This window comes from Homo sapiens, chromosome 3, assembly GCF_000001405.40.
Source record: "Homo sapiens chromosome 3, GRCh38.p14 Primary Assembly".
Taxonomy (NCBI): domain Eukaryota; kingdom Metazoa; phylum Chordata; class Mammalia; order Primates; family Hominidae; genus Homo; species Homo sapiens.
The window spans coordinates 115,646,470-115,665,127 of NC_000003.12; the positions used below are offsets into that span (position 1 = coordinate 115,646,470).

At 40.5% G+C, this 18,658-nt stretch overlaps 1 protein-coding gene across 2 annotated transcripts in view, besides 6 other annotated features; it reads left to right on the forward strand.

The window, feature by feature from the left end:
* The window catches only part of GAP43 (growth associated protein 43), a 97,974-nt gene that overhangs the window by 22,960 nt on the left and 56,356 nt on the right, over positions 1 to 18,658 (forward strand). The window contains exon 2 of one of the 2 annotated variants that reach the window (NM_001130064.2): positions 17,052 to 17,447. The exons of the other annotated variant lie outside the window; for it this stretch is intronic. Coding sequence (NP_001123536.1) covers positions 17,310 to 17,447 — 138 coding nt within the window. The 5' untranslated portion in view covers positions 17,052 to 17,309. The remainder of the gene's footprint in view (positions 1 to 17,051; positions 17,448 to 18,658) is intronic. 2 annotated transcript variants of the gene reach the window in all.
* Positions 4,722 to 4,831: a silencer, noted in NCBI's record as "silent region_14618". NCBI's record gives its function as "represses an Ori minimal core promoter by ATAC-STARR-seq in GM12878 lymphoblastoid cells {active_cell/tissue: GM12878}" and the evidence as "EXISTENCE:reporter gene assay evidence [ECO:0000049][PMID:35858748]".
* Positions 11,322 to 12,194: an enhancer, noted in NCBI's record as "H3K27ac hESC enhancer chr3:115376638-115377510 (GRCh37/hg19 assembly coordinates)". NCBI's record gives its function as "activates a minimal SCP1, AML or CMV promoter by ChIP-STARR-seq in naive H9 embryonic stem cells {active_cell/tissue: H9 hESC(naive)}" and the evidence as "EXISTENCE:reporter gene assay evidence [ECO:0000049][PMID:30033119]".
* Positions 11,322 to 12,217: a biological region, named in NCBI's record as "H3K27ac hESC enhancer GRCh37_chr3:115376638-115377510".
* Positions 11,988 to 12,217: a silencer, noted in NCBI's record as "silent region_14619". NCBI's record gives its function as "represses an Ori minimal core promoter by ATAC-STARR-seq in GM12878 lymphoblastoid cells {active_cell/tissue: GM12878}" and the evidence as "EXISTENCE:reporter gene assay evidence [ECO:0000049][PMID:35858748]".
* Positions 12,195 to 13,066: an enhancer, noted in NCBI's record as "H3K27ac hESC enhancer chr3:115377511-115378382 (GRCh37/hg19 assembly coordinates)". NCBI's record gives its function as "activates a minimal SCP1, AML or CMV promoter by ChIP-STARR-seq in naive H9 embryonic stem cells {active_cell/tissue: H9 hESC(naive)}" and the evidence as "EXISTENCE:reporter gene assay evidence [ECO:0000049][PMID:30033119]".
* Positions 12,398 to 12,467: a silencer, noted in NCBI's record as "silent region_14620". NCBI's record gives its function as "represses an Ori minimal core promoter by ATAC-STARR-seq in GM12878 lymphoblastoid cells {active_cell/tissue: GM12878}" and the evidence as "EXISTENCE:reporter gene assay evidence [ECO:0000049][PMID:35858748]".

Here is an 18,658-nt window from a genome sequence, read left to right on the forward strand (position 1 = left end):
ATCTTGTTGATATGGCAAGGATTCAGGGATAATTGCCTAATAGGCAATATTGCCTAACAGGATAGGTGGGGGTTCAGAAGGGCTCTAATGAAAGAGAAAAAGAGAGAGAACTTCAAATCATACTGAAGAAATAGAGGAAAGCAGAAGTAACCTGAGACAAAAGAGGGAAAGCCCTTCGGATATCTTGAATTAAATATAAACCCTCAGAAATATTTACAGTGCTCTAAGTTAGTAGATTGTCATTTCTTATGGAGAAGACATAATTAGAATGGACCCCAACCACAAGAGACCTCTCTATTAAGACTCATTTGCGATTTGGTACCATATTGCAAATGAGTCTTAATATAAAAGATGTGTCAGAAACCCTCTTCTCACTTCACTTTATATATTAAGTATCTCTTTTCAGGAAACCAAACAACCAACATGTATTTCCTGAACCCCTACAATGAACCAAAGTCTATTAGAGGTAGTATGGGACATTGTGATGGGGGCAGAGGGATACAAAACCCCACCAACAAGGAGGGTGCTATGATTTGAATGTTAGTTCCCCTCACATTTCCTCTGTTGAAATCCTCATCTGAGGATTACATCTGGGATTACTATCACTGAGATAGTATTAGGAGGTGGGGCCTTTGGAAGGTGATTAGGTCATGAGAGTGAAGCCCTTATGAATGGGATTAGTGCCCTTTTAAAGAGACCCCATAGAGCTTCCTTGCTTGACCCTTCTGCCATGTGAGAACATGAGAAGGCTCGGTCTATTATACAGAAGGCAGGCCCTCACTAGACACCAAATCTGCCAGCACTTTGATCTTGGACTTCCCATCCTCTGGAATGGTGAGAAATAAATTTCTCTTGTTAACTACAGTTAACCAGTTTATGTTTATTTTGTTTTCTAATAGCAGTGGGAACTAAAACAGAGAAGAAAGAAGGTTGATATTTAAGAAATATGTACAAATTAAGGAATAACCCTCACAAAAATAACAAAACAAGGCAGTTTGTAATTAAAATATACAAGTACTATAAGAGCTCAGGACTCACAGGAGGAGGCAAGGGAAACTGAAAGCTTTAAAAAGGGAAAAAACTAGGAGAGTGCCCAGTATGAAGGGAGAGTAGAAGGCATTCCAGAGAAGTGGGATAACATGGGGCATGGTCATGGAGCCTTGAGGGGACGATCCTAAAAAATAGTGGAGAGTGTTTGATGGTAAGAATTAGGGGGGAGGGAAAATGAGCCTGTAAGATAAACCATAGCCAACAAAAACAAAAACAAAAACAAAACAAAACAAAAAAACAAAAAAAAAAAACGGCCTGATAGGGCAAGAACTTTGTGCCATTAGCAGCTTTTGGCTAGGGGAGCAAAGTGATGTAAAAAGCATTTATGGCACCTATGCATGCAGGATTGCATGGAAGACTGGAGGCAGGAAGCAAGTTAAGAGGTTATTGTTTGAAACACGTATATAGAAGAGAAAATAAAACCATGGACTAGAGTGTTCATAATTGAAATTTAAATGTAAAATGAATTGCAGACTTTTTGAAGAAAAATGGGTCATTTTCAGTGCCTATGACACATGAAGAAAAGTCTCTGCCAATACATGTGGTCCATGATCCTTTCAATTTGGCTAACCAGTTGTTTTGTAGTCTAGGCTGTATGACAGTGTGACAAGGCTCGTCATGGAAGTAGTCCTTCTTTTACGCAATACTGTGGGCCCTTCTGCAGATCTACTTGCATTCCATTTTTATTTCCCTAATTCTTGGACTGCTGGCTGTATACCTCAACCTTCTTTTCTGCTTCTGACTCCTTCAGGTAGACCCTATCTGATATGCTGTCCTCGCCTCTGAGACTGGGACTCCTCTGTCCACTGGGCTCTTTGTCCTGCTCTGTTCTCTAGCTTTGGACACCATCTTCAGCATTGAACTCCATTGTCCTATTTCAAACCCACTGCACCCTATAAGCCAGGAGAATCCCCCTAACTTGCCCTATGATGTGTGGAGAAATAAATATGATTATAAGATTTCTAGCTTAGATTTACTGGAATGGATGGGCTATTGGCAGAACTGATAAAAGGAAGAACTGATTTGGTGAGGAAGACAATGATTTTTATTTCCAGCATGGCCAGCATGAGGAAAACATCCAGAAAGAAATCACTAATTGAAGGTCCAGAAGTGGAGGCAGAGGGTACAGGGGGCACATGACTCAAAGGCTGATTGAGAGCTTATTCATCTTCGTGGCATTAGTTGAGGAAGGGTTAGAAAGAAAAGAGCTAAGAGAAGGGCTTACTCACCCTTCAGTGGCAGAAGATACTTCATTCAGAGAAAAAGAAAGAGCAGTTAGTAAAAGCATATGGGATCAGGGAAGCCAACAAAAAGAAAGCTCTAAAATAAATGGTCAGTACTATTAAATCAGAGTGATTAAGAAGGATGACAATGGAGAATAGACCATTGAATATAGGAATAAAGAGACCATTGATAATCTCTGAGTGGGTAGTTTAGTTGAGTAGTGAGGATGAAAGCCAGAGTTTAAAGGCTTAGAAGAAGGTTGAAGTAGAAGAAATACAGATAACTGGCATAGACCACAAATCTAGAAATTTGGTATTCCTCTCAGTCAATTCCTGCTACTACAAAAAAAAATCACAGATTGGTTATTAGTAACAGAAATTTATTTCTCACAGTTCTGTATGCTGATCCAGGCACCAACAGGTTTGGTGTCTAGTAAAGGCCTGGTCTCTGTCTCCAAGATGGTGCTTTACTGTTGCATCCTCACATGGCAGAAGGGCAACAAGGAATAAATTCACTTTCTCAAGCCTTTTTATGAGGACATTTGCTGAGACCTCTTGACCTAATCACCTCCGAAAGGCCCCACCTCTTAATACTATTGCATTAGGGATTAAGTTTCAACTTGAATTTTGAAAAGACACAAACATTCAAACCATAACAGTGTCGAATGGAGAAAGAGAAATGAGATTGTAATAAAAAGATGCTATTTTTCAAGGTAGGGAGAAACCTGTTTTAAAGTAGAGGGAATAATAGAGAAGGGAAGACTGAAAGGGTAACAGAAGAAATCAATGTGACAGTAAAGAAGGGATAAGTTCAAATGTTTAGATCTCAGCAGAGTTCCTTATGGAGAAATGATACAGCTTTGAAACAGAAAGGAAAAAGAAGAGGACAAGAAATGTATTGAAATGGGATGGTTTATATTCAGGGGATCCTGTCAAAATCCTGAATTTTGATGCTGCATGTGATGATTCCCACCTTTAATCCCAGCTACTCAGTAGGGTGAAGCAGGAGAATTGCTTGAGGCCAGGAGTTCAAGACCAGTCTGAGCAATATAGTGAGACCCTGTCTCTAAAAAAAAAAAAAAAGAAAGAAAGAAAGAAAAAGAAAAGAAAAGAAAATCCTGAAACCCTGAAACCCTCCCCTCTTTTTTCCCTCAGTGAAGAACTTTGGCTGGCTGTTCAGAGGAAAAATGGGAAAGAAAAACCTTCAGGGGAGTTTACTAACTGACAGGAATGAATTAGACAGCACTTTCCCAAGTGTTCTATGGATCACCTGACATAGTGTCACCTGGAGAAGGTTTTTAAAATGATCTCTGGAGGAGACACTTCATTCACAAGCTCCTCAGATGATTATGATGCTTGCAAACGTCCAGGAGTGAGTGCCTTGTTGGAGGTGGATCCATCTTGAAAACACTGACTAATTTAGGAACCTAGCAGGAAGCTACATTGTCTCTCATCCTGTGGTTATTTTTCTCTTCACATCCCTCACAGGGCTCCCTTCGCTGGGTGTATTTCTATGGTAAAGAGTGCAACTCATCCCAGCATACACCGGCATAAGCTCTTGGTTAGGTCCAAAATATCAGCGAGGGCATTATAGTATATCCACAACCCAAAAGAAAACCTCAGTACTGATTATGTGCACACATGAAGTTTCAGAAGAATGTAAACGATGTATTTTTTCTACTGAATTACCTTTCAGTCCATTAAGAGTTTATTTCGGGTAGCCATCTGGGATCCCCCTCTCTCTGTGAGCCCCCTTTCTTTTCTCTTTCCCTCCCATACCATCTCCTATTTCTCTGTTCCTCCTTCTCCCCATTCCCACTTCCATCCTTGACTTGAAGTGGGACATTAGATCTTTATGGTTCTTATGGCATTGCACTGAGCTCTACTCTAGAGACTCAGCACTAGAATCTGCACATGTGGAAGATCCACAGGTGCTTTCTTGCTAACCTAATCATCTCTAATAGCATAACTTTGATATATAACTATAATTTTTAAAATCATACTCTAGTCTTTTAAAATCATACTCTAGTCTTTTCTTACTCTAGTCTTACTCCTTCTAAAAATTAAAGGGGAAGGAAAAAGTGTGTGGAGGAAAGTAAAATCTGGTCAGGCATGGTGGCTCATGCCTGTAATCTCAGCACTTTGGAAGGCCAAGGTGGGAGGATTTTTTTGAGCCCAGGAGTTCCATACCAGCCTCAATAGCGAGACCTTGTCTCTACAAAAAAATAAAAATAAAAAAATTAGCTGGGCATTGTGGCATGCCTCTGTAGTCCCAGCTACTTGGGAGGCTGAGGTGGGAGGATTGTTTAAATCCAGGAGATGGAGGCCACAGTGAGCTGTGATTGTACCATTGCACTCCACTCTGGAAGAGACCCTGTCTGGAAAAAAACAATAATAATAATAATAAAGAAAGTAAAATCCAATTCTGTCACACTGAGAAACCTTTTATTATTTGGAACCCATATGCCAACAGGCCCTCAGTAAATGAAGCATGGTCAGTGGAGGTGGGGTTCTGCAACATTATGAGTTTCTTGCTAAATGAAGTCAAGTCTCTCTTCCTCTTTCTCTCACACACACACATCCATGCACACTCTGCACATACGGAAGACCTGTTGTTTGAAAAGTTAAGTTAGTGTTTGAAAAGTATATCATTTGTTTTTAATTTGTTGCATGAATTTTTGTGTTCATTTGGCAAGATAAATTTTACTACCAGTTATCTAGATGAGAGGGAGTCAACTTTGAACCCTCATTTGATGCCTAACCTCGGCATCAAGAGAAAAAATCTATCCTAAACTCAGTTCATATGTACATTTCTATATTTTTCTTTTCTCTTGCTGCATTCCATTTTATTTACCAACACAGAAGCAGAAGGTTGTAGTTTCTCTATTTCCTTTTTCTGATAAACACCTCAAAAGCATATAGTAATTTCCTCCATTTTTATCTGGCCCGTGCTTTTCTTAAACACATGTAATCTGTTCTTCCCTCCCTCCCCCACTGTTCTAAAATTGCTTTCCCTGAGGTCCTTGGTGGCCTTGTAATTTATATTTGCAAAGACCTTTCTCAGCCTTCACTTAACATTTTCGCATTGACTGTGCTGAACACTTCTTAGGATCCTCTCTATTCTTGGCCCCTGTTCTGGCCCTCTTCAATTGTTACTCTCCTCCTCTAAGCTGGTTTTACTTTCTCCTCTGTCTTCTAGATAGAGGTGATACAAAAACATGATCTTAGTTTTTCTGATCTTTTATTTTTAATTCTCTTAATTAGAATTTTCTTCCACCTTCATAGCTTCAACTATCACCTTCTCATAAAAGACACTCAAGTGTATATTTCCTGTACTAAGATGCTTCTAGTTGCTTACTGGGTGTCTAGTTCCTTCCAAACATTTACCATTGAAACTGAGTCCATCACCTTTCCCCAAAATCCATCTTTCCCTTTGAATTCTCCACAAATAAACTGTACCGCTCATTTAATTCTGAAGATATTATCTTTTGTATTATTTATTTAATTCTTTCATTTGTTGTTACCATATTTAAACAGTAATTATTTTGAGGGAAAGAATCGTATTTTCTACATCTCTATATTCCTGTATTCCTGATGATTCTTATCCAGCATTCTTTTTTTTTTTTTTTTTTTTTTTTTTTTTGTGATAGAGTCTTGCTCTGTTGAGTCTTGCTCTGTTGTCCAGGCTTAAGTGCAGTGGTGGCACCATCATAACTCACCACACCCTCAACTTCTGGGATCAAGCAATTCTCCCACTTCAGCTTCCCGAGTGACTGAGACTACAGGCATGTGCCACCATGCCCAGCTAATTTTTAAAAACTTTTTTGTAGAGACAGGTTCTTGCTCTTGCCCAGGCTGGTCTCAAACTCCTAAGTTCAAGTGATCCTCCCACCCCAGCCTCACAAAGCACTGGGACTACAGGCATGAGCCTCTGCACCCAGCCGCCTATGCAGTGTTCAATAAATGATTTTTATTAAGACGTTTCACCTAAGTTCCTAATATTTTGCATATACTTCTCACTGTGGTAATTTTTGAAAGGGTTGACAGATTTTGATGAAAATGAATAGATATGAAGTGTAATTTTGGTTCAGACCACCGTCTTGAGACAAAATAGTAGCTACTAAATGTACTGACAGGAGAATTTCTGTAACTTATTAACAGTGGATTCCGTACAATTTTATATACCTCTGCAACTGAATGTGTTCTGCTATTCAGAACTTCTGAAAGAGGAAGTTACCAGCCAAAGAAATTATGAGGCAAGTTGAAGGATCTAGTTAGGTTAGACTAAGCAGACACTCAAATGAGAGGGAAGGCAGAGCTAAAACTTCAAGACTGGGTTTCTCTACCTCATCTGGGAGAATACTGACAACAGGGCATATAAATTTTTGTCTTTTTGCCCAAAATATGAGGTACTGGGCTAGGTGCGGTGGCTCATACCTGTAATCCCAGCACTTTGGGAGGCTGAGGGGGGCAGATAACTTGAAGTCAGGAGTTCAAGACCAGCTTTGCCAACATGGTGAAACCCTGTCTCTACTAAAATTACAAAAAAATTAGCTGGGTGTGGTGGCGCATGCCTGTAATCCCACCTACTTGGGAGGCTGAAGCACAAGAATCACTTGAACCTAGGAGGCGGAGGGTGCAGTGAGTTGAGATCTTGCCACTGCACTCCAGCCTGGGCGACAGAGTGAGACTCTGTCTTAAAAACAAAATAAAATAAATAAAAAGGTAATTTTTCCAATGTCAAAGGAGACTAGAAAAAGTTTTTGAAGAATGGTGTCTGCCCCTACTTTGTGTGGCGGGGTGAAATACCACTATTTCACCAAGGGTAACCTGCGCCTCCTAAAACTTTTATTTCTCCCAAGACTAAGTTTACAGATTCTTAGAATTAATGAGTTGAAAAAGACTTGACCATCTAGTTCAAATCCCTCGTTCAGAGACATGCCACATGCTTCTTAATCCTGGTTGTATGTTAGGTTTTCTAATCTTGCCTCTGGGCCTTATCTCTGAAGTCCTCACTCTGCACTGGCCCTAGAGTTTGAGTAATGCCATCCAAATGTAGGTATTGCTATTATATTAAAAATAACACTTTGCCTTGTTCATATTTAATGAATTTTCCTATGAAAGATAGATTCATGTATCACTTTTCAGATATTTAACATCTGAAATTAAAAAAAAAATTAGCCCTAATGAACATTTTCTACAATACATGGATCAAGAGTAGAGAGGAAATATTGGTCTCCACATCTCCCCTTTCCACTCCCCCAACACCAAATCCACTGTCTATAGGCATTTACACATTCCTTCTGTGATTGGATGATTCTGCCTTTTTCAAGGCTGAAAAATTCAAGTCAATTGACTCTCACAGATTTGAAGTTTTCTGCTGTGGTGTAAAAAATACATCCATATTTCAATTGTTTTCACTTTAATTTATCAGTTGGCCACAATATATATAAAACAGAATTGCCTGGTGCTCAGAATGAAGTACCAAGTGATTCAAATATTGACTATTCTACTCAATTTCAATATAAACTTAAGCAAGTCACACACTTGTCCACTTATCCAGTAGATGAAACCGCAAAGGAGGAGAGTTTATCTGAAAAGTTCTTCTCTGGAGAAAGATACTTAGAAAATACAAATGGTCCTTACTAAAGACCCCAGCTCATCCCAGGAAGATCTGAGGAAAAGATGAGCAGACCCAATGCTACTTCAGCTCACCTTTCTTAGCAGTCTTTTTTTTAAAAGCTCTGTTTTAATTGAACACTATGTTCCTGAGTCAGAAGAGTGCTTCAGTAAATCTGCCTTCCTGGGGCACAACGAATCACACACAGTCACACTTTCAGAAAGGCGAATCCTGCCAAACGTTGGCTGGACAAAAGATGGCTTTTTTTCTCCTCCAGCAAAAATTACTCAAATTGCTTGAGAAAGAAACACAGTATGTTTATCCCTGTTTACAGATATTTAGCTAGTGCCCCTTCAGAGGGTCATGTTCCTATAAACAGCATCATGATAATTATATCCACTGCTGCAAAGAACAGATGTGTAAATTGGTGGTTTCTTGGGGGAAAATAATACCAAGTCCATTTTCCAGAAATGTACACAGTACAGTGCAGCTGTAACATTCTGTGCAGAGGTCTCATTACTGTCTATTACTGAGTGAGGTGATTTTTAAAGAATATGGAAATTCACGGGGGGCATCTAGCAGGGAAGTCCAGAGACACCTAGGAAATGATTCAGATGGTTTGGTATATTTAAAAATTTCTAGTGATACTGGGCAAATCTCCACATCTAAAGAAAGTAGTAATAAATCTTTGATTATAAAGTTTTCCAGGCAAGAAATATGTATGAGTAGAGGGTAGGATTAGGAAACTTCTCATGCCCCACACACCTCTGAGATCTGTGTAACTTAGGTATAGACTAAACTTTAGTGAGGCCAGGTTGCATCAAGGTGGTCAAATTTTCGATCTGTGAACACCAGAATATTTCTAAACTCATTGCTGAAGGGTCTGGCAGGGATCAGGGTTCCTGAAACTAGAGTCAATGGTTCCTTATTTAAAAAGCCAATGTTACCTTGGACACAAGAATTAGATGAAATCCTTTCTGCTAATGAATTTATTTTGTTGTAGATACTTGCTTTTCCCCAGGGTATATATTTATGTGACTATATGGTAATCAGTATTATCCCTAAAAATTAAAACACAACACTAAGGTCAGCTTATTGTATTAGAATAGCTATTGAACAGGTCTGTTATTACAAATATGCATATCACTATAAGCTTCACTATCTTCTCTCTGCAAAATTCTCTTAAATCATGTCAAATAGTATGTACAGAATATTATATACAGGGATCTAGTGTCTGCCTGAAGGATGGGATTTCTCCTGAACTGGGGCTATCAGTACCTTCACATGTACCAAAACTTTGCATAAGACCAATATATATTTCATAACTTAGTAAATGTGATAAAACACTGAAAGTTAATTTGCATTTTCATTGAATACTATAATATTCAATGACATTATGCAAAACTGGGGCATTTTGCTTCTGGGACAGAAAAGTATAAACTATTTCTTTTAAGCTATGCTTCTATAATTCCACACGAACTACCCAGGAGGATCAAAGCATGTTAGAATGACTGAAATACAACAGGAACAGTCTAGTCTGTTAATCTGGATTTTTCAGGCCTGGGATGGAAGGATAATAAATTGAGGCCTGCCACATGCCTTAGGCCAAAGCATGCCTTTGACACTAATGATCTAATTCAGTTATCTACTTTGTCCAAAATTCAGCCTTCTCATACTCTGTGCCCTGGGGACATAAACAAAAACACAGGGGGTGATGAGGTAGCCCCAGCTCTATCTGGGGCTCTACTGACTCACTCTCTTGGTCTCAGTTTCAAGGGCTATGAAATGTCATGGTGTGATGGTCTCTTCTAGGCCTTGTGTCTTATGTTCAGTGGGTCTATGCATGCTGGAATTTAGAATAGTGATTCTTGGTCATTTGTGTGGGATAGCGGCTGCTGGGTATCCACTTGACTTGAAAGTAAAGAGGTAATGGGGTAGAAATAGAAAATTCTGAATTGTTTAATATAAAATCAAGGAAGCTGTTTCCAATCAGGACTGTGGTTCAGGTCTAAGGACCATAGATGCAGCCCACTAGCACATTTACTAACATGCAGTTTGGGCTCTTTATACTAGGCTCCCTCGACCAGCATCTCTGAAAGTTGAACCTATGAATTGGATTTAAACAAGCCTCTTTGGTGTAAATATGTATACTGAGGGTGGGGAATCCCTGATCTAGGTAAAAGAGGACTTTTTCTGCTAATCTGAAATTTGGTTGGGAGAAAATGATGTAATCTACCTAAACTTCGATTTTGTAATAATAGAAATGTTATCTTTCCATCGTTCTCAGAAAGTAAAAGTGTATCAGTGAAACAGCCCCTTAGAGAAGTTTCTTAGAAAAGCAAGCAATTTCCTAGTAAAAAATGGATTGTATTTCAAAAAGAAATTGTTAAACTTGAAACATAAAAGGCTTTCCCCACAGAAATAACCTAAAATTTCCAGACCTGTCTGTAAAACTCAGATTGATCCAAAATGTAACTGAAATTCTATATGTTTGCAATGGAAACATAGAAGAAAATAATGTTACTGGGCTTCGGAGTGTAATAGAACCATTTCCTCATATATAATTTCATTAAAAATGCAAAAATATAAAAAACTATATACACACGTACTTGCGTATAATTTCCCTTTTCTAGTCTACAAGTATTATGGTAGCCCACCCTCAACAGTACTGAGAATGAAAATTATAGCAAAACTCTTTTGTATTAGTTACTTCTGTGTCATAATGAGAGTCTCAAGATAAATGAAAGGAGGGATGGATAAAATGATTTCTTATGATGGGCAAAGGTTGGAAGAAACATCATGTGGGGAGAGGGCAAAGAGAAAACAGATAAAAAGAGAATAAAAGAGGAAATGAGTGGCTTATGTGAGCAAGCGATGAGCTAAAGTGGAAGTGTAGGAGAGGTGAGTTGCTTAGGTCTAAGGAGAAAGACTGCTTAGGTGTGTGTTCACCCCCAGGACGAAGAAAGGAACACTGGGTGAGATTTTGTTCAACTACCCATAGTTACCACCAGATGGTGAAACTGATCCCGGGCCTCTTGGGTATTGATCAGTTTATGGGGAGATGGGGAGAAGACTATCTTTCACTTGTTAATTCATTAATTTCTTTCGCAAATATTTTTTCAGTACCTGCTAAGTCCCACGGACTATGCTAGGAGCTGCTGTTAAAATGACAAACCAGATAAGGTCACTGCCCTTAATCAACTTACAGTTGGGTGAGAAGCTATCAGGTACAAGTATGGCCCTAGAACAAATTAGTCTTTTCTAGTTAATAATCTTATGTGATGAGATTTGGCCTTGCTCCTTTGGTGACTTGCCTCAAGGAGCCCCAGGCAAAACCAATGTAACATATATTAATAATATATGAAATAATATATTTTGTAGACACAATTGCCTTATGTTGTCCAGGCTAGCCTCGAACTCCTGAGCTCAAGCAATCCTCCCCACCTCTGCCTCCCAAAGTTCTGGGATTACAGACGTGAGCCGCCGTACCCAGCCAAAAATGTTTATTTTGATTAGATGACTGGTATTAATCTGATTAACCAAAGAGACAAGGTATTACTAAATTCCTCATCCCTGGTAACATTTCCATGTTAGCTGTTTTCTATTTGTTTTTTCTTTTCCACAATGGTGCGGCCTAGAAACAGTTAACCTTCTTCGGGGTATTACATACCTTAGACATATAAAAAAGCTATGAGCATTCAACACTGAAATAATCATATAAACCAAACATACTGCACACTACTTCAGGGATACTCTGAAGCCCATCCTTAGACCCCAGACTCAAACAAAACAAAATACGATGTAAAGAACTGACACAAATCATCAGAGTTTAGAGAACAACGTGACGGGCAGCAGAGGAGAGGAGAGGGTTGAAGCAAACTTTTTTGGTTTTTTTTTCCTAAGTAGGGCTGGTTCTGGCTTGTCTTCCTTCTCCCCACTTTGCTTCTTACTCTTGGGCTTACAAACTGCCTGGTTTCCCTTCTCCAAGTCAGGGCTTCGTTTCTCTGCCTTGGCCTTCCTACCCCACCTTCTGCGTTCTGACTCCATGAGGCCCTTTTCGCGTCTCATTTTCTGCCTTCTTTAGGCGTTCCCTCGGCGGCTCTGCAGTGTGATCTCATCTCTTTGTTTCTCCCCGGCTGCCGTCAGTCACCGGCTCTCTGCGCCCCCACCCGCGCGGGCTCGCGGCCGTGCTGCGGGCGTGGCCTCAGCCGCTGAGACCCTGGGGACCGCAGGGCGTGGCGCGGCCTCCGCCCGCTGCACGGAGAGCCCCCCAGAGGCAGCGACACGGCGCTTGGGGTCCGCGGGGCTCCTCCTCCAACTCCGCAGACCTCCGGGGAGGCCTCTTGCTCCCCGAACACCCGGGAGTTCGCTTTCATTTTTAACGAATCTCCACAATCTCTTGTTTGGGAGATAATTGCTTCTTTCAGGGGCTTGGAGAACAAAAGCGTCAGCCCAGGGCCCCAGGTCTCTCCGCGGGAGGAGGGCACCCAGGGGCGATGCGCCGGGCTCTCTCCTTCGCCCTTCTTGGCCCGCTCGCCTTCAGCTCCCACCCGCAGCAGCAACCGCAGCCTGCTTCCGGGGACTGAGCAGCCCTGGGTCAGCCAAGGTTAAGCAGCGGGTGGGGAAGAGGAGAGAAAGCTGGGTCAATTGGAAGTAACCTTCTTGTACCGCCCACTTTTTCCTTGCTTGGAGGCGGCAAAAAGCACTTTAGCATTCTTCGGGCTGTTTGCGCCTCTTTCTCTAACAGGGCCAGGGGAGTGGAAGAGCGGCCGGCAGGAAGGTTTCTTTGTCAGCAAAAGCGGACCTTTGGAAACTAAACAGCAATGCTCTGTCTTTAGAAGACAGCACAGGAAGGAACAAACAGCTGAGGAGTGAAGGCCAGAGACCCCATTTGGAAAACAATGGCCTTTCATGATTATTACTATTTTTAAAAAGTTTTCTAGGCTTTTTCATTTGAACTTTCCATTTCTCACTATGAAATGCAGGTTCTATAGACAATTGCACACAAGTTTCTTTTTCGGGGGGGAGGGTAAACGAAGCAGGTGGAAAGAAGTGAGATGATTGTAGACGTGGCCAAATTTAGACTTGGTGTGAGATTTCCTCTTCGCTTGGAAACACATGGCACCAGCATGCATTTGTTCATTCATTCAATAATGTGAATGAACATTAAACACTACGATGTGATGGGCTTTGTCACAGGCTGTAAGTGGCTTCAGGTCCACATGAAAGGAGAGCGAAAAATTAAAATAAAATATTAGAGAGAGAGAAAAGGGAAGAGGGGCAAGGTGTCAGGCAGCAAGCTTCTTAGGGTCAGAATGGGTCCCCATCCCTAAAAGCTGATGACTGAAGAGACCCACGAGGGTAGACGAGCTGTAGAGAGACAATACTGCATCTGCCAGTGATGAGTGTAGGAAGCTCATGAGGGTTAGAACCTTCCCTCTCTGTTTTCTGACCTCTTTTTCTTTTTAAATAGGTTGAAGCCAACTGTGGTAGAGGATAACAGTGATTCGCGTATCTTATTTATTTATTTTTAGCAGCCCCCTCCCCCGCAACTAGGACAGTGAGTTCCATTCAGATTTTCAACACAGCTAAAAACTTGGCTTTAAAACTTGTGAAGGGAGACATTTCTTTAGAATCTTTCACTTTTTTCATCGCAGAGGCTTTGGGGGAATGTTTAGCTTTTTGCTGAATCATGAAGGGTTTGTTACTGCATTCTGAGAGGGTAGGAATTAGATGCCTAAAGGATGGTGTCTGCTTTCCTGTTGAGGTGGTTTATTTAACAGTTCATAGAGGCATGCAGGTCAAGTCATCCTTAACTGTACAGAGTCAAGGGTATTGCCACATGGGAGGCTGGCCAGCGGAGAAGTTTGGTGCTCTCTCAGTTTGGAGATCCTCATGTTGTATACATATTCCAAAATTCCCAGTAATTATGTACCTATAATTATATACCTATAAATACCATTCCAGATACTAGAATAAGATCACAGATAACTTCTTAGATGTTTCTTTTCTAGAGAAATAGGGAAACAGAACATATATACATTTGCACACAATTCAAACTTACACTTTGAATGTTTGTCTTAAATCTCCTAGTCAACTCCCTTAATGTACAGACAAAGAAACAGATCCAGAGAAGTGAAGAGACTTTCATAAAGTTGGAGTCAGGTTGGGATATGTCAGGCCTGGCCTTCTTGCTGCTGATTATTTCTCTGAATTTTATAATAGAGGCACCTCTGAAACTGTCTGAAACTTTTCATTTAAAGAGATATTCAAAAAGAACTGTAGATTTCTCAGAACGGGTGTGTTTAGTCTGAGTGTTGTGGGCCAGTATATTTCATCATTGAATGTGCAAAAGATTTGTTAAAATGGAGATATTGGTTCAGTGGGCCTGGGCGGGGTGACAGTCTGCATTGCCAGCCCAAACTGCCCTTAGTGGTGCAGATGTTGCTGGTCCACATGTGGAACGGCTAGGCTGTAGACAGCATCTGTCCTCCTTGCCTTTCCTTCTTGCTGAGGGAACAGCCCTGGGGATTTAAGAAGCCCTTTTTGTTTCTGTTGCCAGGTCACTGTGCTCCCTTAGCTAATCTCGATAGCTTTCACTGCCTTGTCTTCATCCAGATCTAAGATTGTTAGAAATAGTCCCTAGAGACAGGTGTCTTGAGCTGGAGGGTGTGATCCTTTGTATAGTGACTTAGCACCATTTAACTTGGTTCCACAAAATGTTTCTTTCACACATAAGCAATTTACTCAACTCAGATTGTTAAAAAAAAAACTGTTTTTCCTTCCACAAGTGTCCTCCCAGCTGCAGCTCATTGCACTCCCTTGCAGCTGGGAGTGCAGCTGGCATGCTGCTAGCTCACTGGTCTGGCCCTTCCACTGGAACCCAGCAAGTTTTCTGTGCTTTTTTTCACCACTCTCTTCTATCCTGCACTTCTGCATGTGACGCCTAGATTTAGCTGTAAGTGCCTTTGTGCAGCATCTGAGTTGAGCAAGCTGCTAAGATATAACTGGGCAGAGGTTCTTCTAAGGCAGGCAAACTTCAGTGTCACCCAAAGGGTGGTTTGACTTGGCTTTGCTTTGTCAAGCCCACCGGGCTTTGATATGACTTTGTTTTTGTTTGTTTGTTTGTTTGTTTTTGTTTTTTTGAGAGGAATCTCGCTCTGTCGCCCAGGCTGGAGTGCAGTGGCGTGATCTCTGTTCACTGCAAGCTCTGCCTCCCGGGTTCACGCCGTTCTCCTGTCTCAGCCTCCCGAGTAGCCGGGACTACAGGCACCCGCCACCAAGCCTGGCTAATTTTTCGTATTTTTAGTAGAGATGGGGTTTCACTGTGTTAGCCAGGATGGTCTCGATCTCCTGACCTCGTGATCCACCCGCCTCGGCCTCCCAAAGTGCTGGGATTACAGGTGTGAGCCACCGCACCCAGCAATATGACTTTGAATCGCAAGTTTGGCTTGGGGAGAAACTAGGGCTTTTTTTTTTTTTTACCTGGGAGCTGTCAAATTGCAAACCACAGGGCATGCTCACAAGAGAAGTGGGAAGATAGGGACCATTTCATGAATTTCTCAAATGCCAAAGCAATGCATATTTTCTTAGCTTGATAAGCAATGGGAATGTCTAAAGTTTGTTTTTGGTGGGGGTCGGGGGGAAGGGGAAGGGCATATTGTAATGAAACCACAATTCGATTTTAGCTTACTGTGATAAAATATGTTGCACAGAGTGGAAGACAGACTAAGGAAGAGAGCTTCTTAGATTGAATGTTATAGTGTTAGCTTTTATTGTCAGTTTTAAACCTTAAAATATGAGAATAGTACTTCTAGGTAGAGTTTCTGACATTTGGTAAAAGGAGAATCTTCGTCTAGGTCCTCCCTGCATACCCACTGCACTATCGCCACCAGCTACTTCTGTTATTGCCTTGATTCTCTGCAGTGATTTAAACCTTCTGTTGTATGTTTCTTGGGTGCTTCCATATCTTCCATATCATGGCATAGTCACTCAGATGCATACTCATTTACCAGAGGCTGCAGAGGTATCAGGCAACTTTGGTTTGTTCAGCTTACCGGGTTTTGATATGACTTTGAATTGCAAATTTGGCTTGGGGAGAAATTAGGGAATTTTCTATGTAGTAACTGTCAAATTGCAAACCACAGAGAGAGTTGGCTACTGGATTTTTCTGGGAATCATTTATTCCTAGTCTTGGGTATAATTCTGAGCTGATACAGTAATATGGGAAATTCTTGGTTTCTGAGAAGTAAATCAGAATCCTGGTAAGAGTGGTGACATCACCTCTTGAACTCAGGAGAGTCTCCAGGACTTTTTATGCAGCAACACATCTGTAAAGCTCCCCATTGTTGGAGTTTCACTAATTTGGTGCTCTGTACATCCCTTTGGGCCATGTGACATCACTTATGAGAGGGTTGTGGCATGTCTCATAGTGTTGTATATGTCAAGTAGAAAGTTATTTTCATTGACCTCAAGACTGCAGAATTAGACAATATCTCCCTATTTTTACCCAATTTAGCCAAATTCTTTCATTCAAAGATTAGATTATTATTAATCCCTGAACGCAGGTTCATAGGAATTAATTCAAGAGTCGTAAAATTTGCTTGCCTGGTTTCCAAACTAAATAAAAGGGAATTTTCTTTCTTTGATGGCTCCAAAGGGTTCGGTGTTTCTCCCTGCAGAACCACAAAGTGGGAGGTGTGCTGCTGCTTTGTACCATGAACTACACAGTCATCAAACATATACATTTTCTCCACAACCTATGCTGCATAAATAATATGATACTTTCTGAGTATCATTCGATTCAGAGCAATTTGTACGGCATGCGTGAAACAGTTCTAGATGGGGTTTCCTTATATACCTCACTACAATTGTGAAAAAAAGGAACACGAATAGTTGGTTCAAGTAAAAAGCAATGTTTAATTCAGGAACTCAGGCTGAATTTAAATCCTCACACTCAGGAATAAATCGCAGAACCTTCTCTTTACCACCTGCTCAATCCCTTCCTTCTGATAAGAATGCATAAGGTTGACTCTAGTCCATTCATCTGCTTTTCTCATTTATTAAATAGCCATAGTTCCTGACCTGATGCCCTCTCCCTCCCTCTTCTCCCAGTATTGCTTTCCCTGCTCTCTGATATTTTTCTCTTTTGCTTTCAGAATTAAAAGGGAACCTGGTCTCTGGGTTGTTTTCAACATCTCAAGTGTGAATTTTCCCTGTCAAAATCTTCACAAGGAAAATGAGTCACAGCATCACCTGGGTGACGAGGTCATAACACCTCAGCCCTTGCTTAAAAAATTTTATTTCTACTTTTCTATTGTAAAGAGATCTCAAAACAGGAAGATAAAATTGGACTGACAGCTCTACAGCCTAGTCTTTTAGACAGTGAACTAGGCCAGCATTGGCAGACACTGGCGATGACAAAGTCCTGCTCTGAATTATGCCACCCCGCACTCCACTTTTTACCTTGCCTGGGAGGCTTGAGGAAAAATCTTCAGAGAGCAGTTCGACCTAGTCCTTATTCACTTGGCTTCTTGACTTTCTGGATTTCAAGGGTAATTTTACCTCACATGTAACCTATACAAGTATTTTAGGTTAAAACCCTGACTCTGCCACTTACTAGCTGTATGACTTTGAGCAAATTACTTAATTACTTAACTAATGTCCTTCTACTTAGTCTTTTCATCTGTAAGATAATAGTACCCATTGCATAGTTTTGTTCTTAGAATTGAATTAGTTAATATACAAACTATATGCAATAAATATGTTTGGGGTGTGTATATATCATATAAAAGTGCTTAGAAGAGTGCTTGACATATAGTTTTAGAATTTGCTATTATTATGTTCTCCAAGCATATGAGGGTATTTTATGTCATTACTTTTAAAGGTCGCTTTTTTATATGTGTTAGTGGGAGGCATTTATTATTTTTTTAAGTGTGCATATCCCTGAAACATCCCTCTGTGGAGCTATAAAAGAAAACTATAAAATATTTACCATATAATTCACTCAATCCCCAGTCTCCAGAAAGTAACAATTTGTACTTCATTTGTATTGTCTTCTTCCAGGCATTTTACAAATACTATTTTCTTTCATCCTCAAAAAAATTCTGCACAATAGGTAATAGGATTCTAATATGGGTGATAAGAAAACTGAAATTTAGAGAAATTAAGTAATTTATCCCAGGTCATACATTTAAGCAGTGAATGAGCCAGGATTCAAACTCAGATCTTTTGACCCCAAAACCATGCCAGGTAGCAAGTAATCAATGAATGTCAATGACAGATCATCGAGAGAGAATCCAGTGCCAAAAATGAAGAGGGTGTCAACAAAATAAGAACAAGGACAATGGCAGCATGAGCAACAAGAACAAACTTAGATCCAAAATTAACAGTTAAAGATTTTTCTAGAGTCCTGCATATTTTTCCTTAAACTGTCCAGCAGCTTGGGGACAGAAATCTAATTAAAATGGAAGTCTATGCATGCTCAAACCACATGCCTTGTACCTGATGCAATCCGCTTCCACCCCAGTCCTGAAAAAAGGCATTCAGTTATTTTTTTCTACATGTGGAAGAATACAACAACATACCTTCTAGAATCAGGGAGAAATGTACTTGCTCTTTTTATTTTTTTTTAATTTCTCAAATACTGTTCTATAAGGATAATCACTCACCTGGTGATTAATGTAGAATGTTAAGGTGTGTACAAATTACTGCTGATAGGTAACACTGTCCTTGCAAAATCATCCCATGTGCCCCCCTCAAATAA